General features: G+C 42.1%; 1 annotated feature.

The window, feature by feature from the left end:
• Positions 348-977: an enhancer, noted in NCBI's record as "OCT4 hESC enhancer chr18:25828556-25829185 (GRCh37/hg19 assembly coordinates)". NCBI's record gives its function as "activates a minimal SCP1, AML or CMV promoter by ChIP-STARR-seq in primed H9 embryonic stem cells {active_cell/tissue: H9 hESC(primed)}" and the evidence as "EXISTENCE:reporter gene assay evidence [ECO:0000049][PMID:30033119]".

A 1,221-nucleotide genomic window follows, 5' to 3' on the forward strand; every position in this document is an offset into this window, starting at 1 on the left:
CAAGATGAAGTTTTTCTACAGCCAAGAGTTCATGCTGAGGATTACTAGATTATCAGGACAGGGCACTGTGAAATCAGATAAAAAATTTTGAAAGGCTTGGCTCTGTGGCTCATGCCTGTAAATCTCGGCACTTTGGGAGGCCAAGGAGGCAGGATTGCTTGAAACCAGGAGTTGGAGGCCAGTCTGGGCAACATAGTGAGACCCTCGCCTCTAAAAATATAAACAATAAAAATTACTCAGATGTGGTGACACAAACCTGCAGTCCTAGCTCCTTGGGGTCTGAGGTAGGAGGATTGCTTAAGTCAGGAAGGTCGAAGATTCAGTGAGCTATGATTGCCACTGTACTCCAGCCTGGGTGACAGAGTGAGATCCTGTCTCAAAATAATTTTTTTCTTTGAAAAATTATGATATGATATGTTAACTTAAAAAAAAATCAAAGATATAAACTTAGAAAAAGAGAGAAGGAGACTTTCTTTCTTATAAAGGGTTACAACCTGCAAGACAGCCATCCTGCAGCCTGGGAAGCACAGTCTCTGAAGGAAGCCCAGAGATAGGTAATTGGAAGGAGGAGGGGTTGGGGTAGGAGCTTTACACTGAAAGGGTTGGCCAAACATGCATATTCAACAGATTACAGGAGGAAGTATGAATATTCATGAGGTGTTCCTGACACTTGACCCATGTTCACTTTGGGGTGGAGACTTAACAATTAAATGCATTACTATTAGACCCTATATGTGAAAAGGACTTTTCAGGACATGAAGGCTTGAGAGTGCAATCTCTGCACCAGCCAGAACCACAGTCCATGGTCTTATCAGGAGAAAGTTGCTGAAATCACTCTCTTGTCCAATAAAAGCTGTAGTTATGGCTGTGGAAGAGGGGCTGGGGGGTCGGTTAGTACCTAGTGGAGCTGCAAATTATTTCAATATTGCTTATCTTGAGGGCATTGCTTGTTTAGCTGCTAGAGAAAAAGAAAACGCGTGTAGCAGTTAGAGCATAGTTGATTCTTTAAGTGCAGGGGTGTGTGACCTATCTCTTGCCTGGCATGGACTTAGGTCCTGTTTGTAATTTGGTATTTTATTGCCACCAAGAGTCTGTTTTGTCAATCTTATAAGCTTGATTTTATCATTAATGTTGGTCACTGGTTATGTCTAAACCACAAAGGGAGAGGGTATAATAAGGTGTGTCTAACCTCCCATCCTATCATAGCTGAAAACTCAGTTT

The sequence above is a fragment of the Homo sapiens genome, chromosome 18 (genome assembly GCF_000001405.40).
Source record: "Homo sapiens chromosome 18, GRCh38.p14 Primary Assembly".
Lineage (NCBI taxonomy): Eukaryota > Metazoa > Chordata > Mammalia > Primates > Hominidae > Homo > Homo sapiens.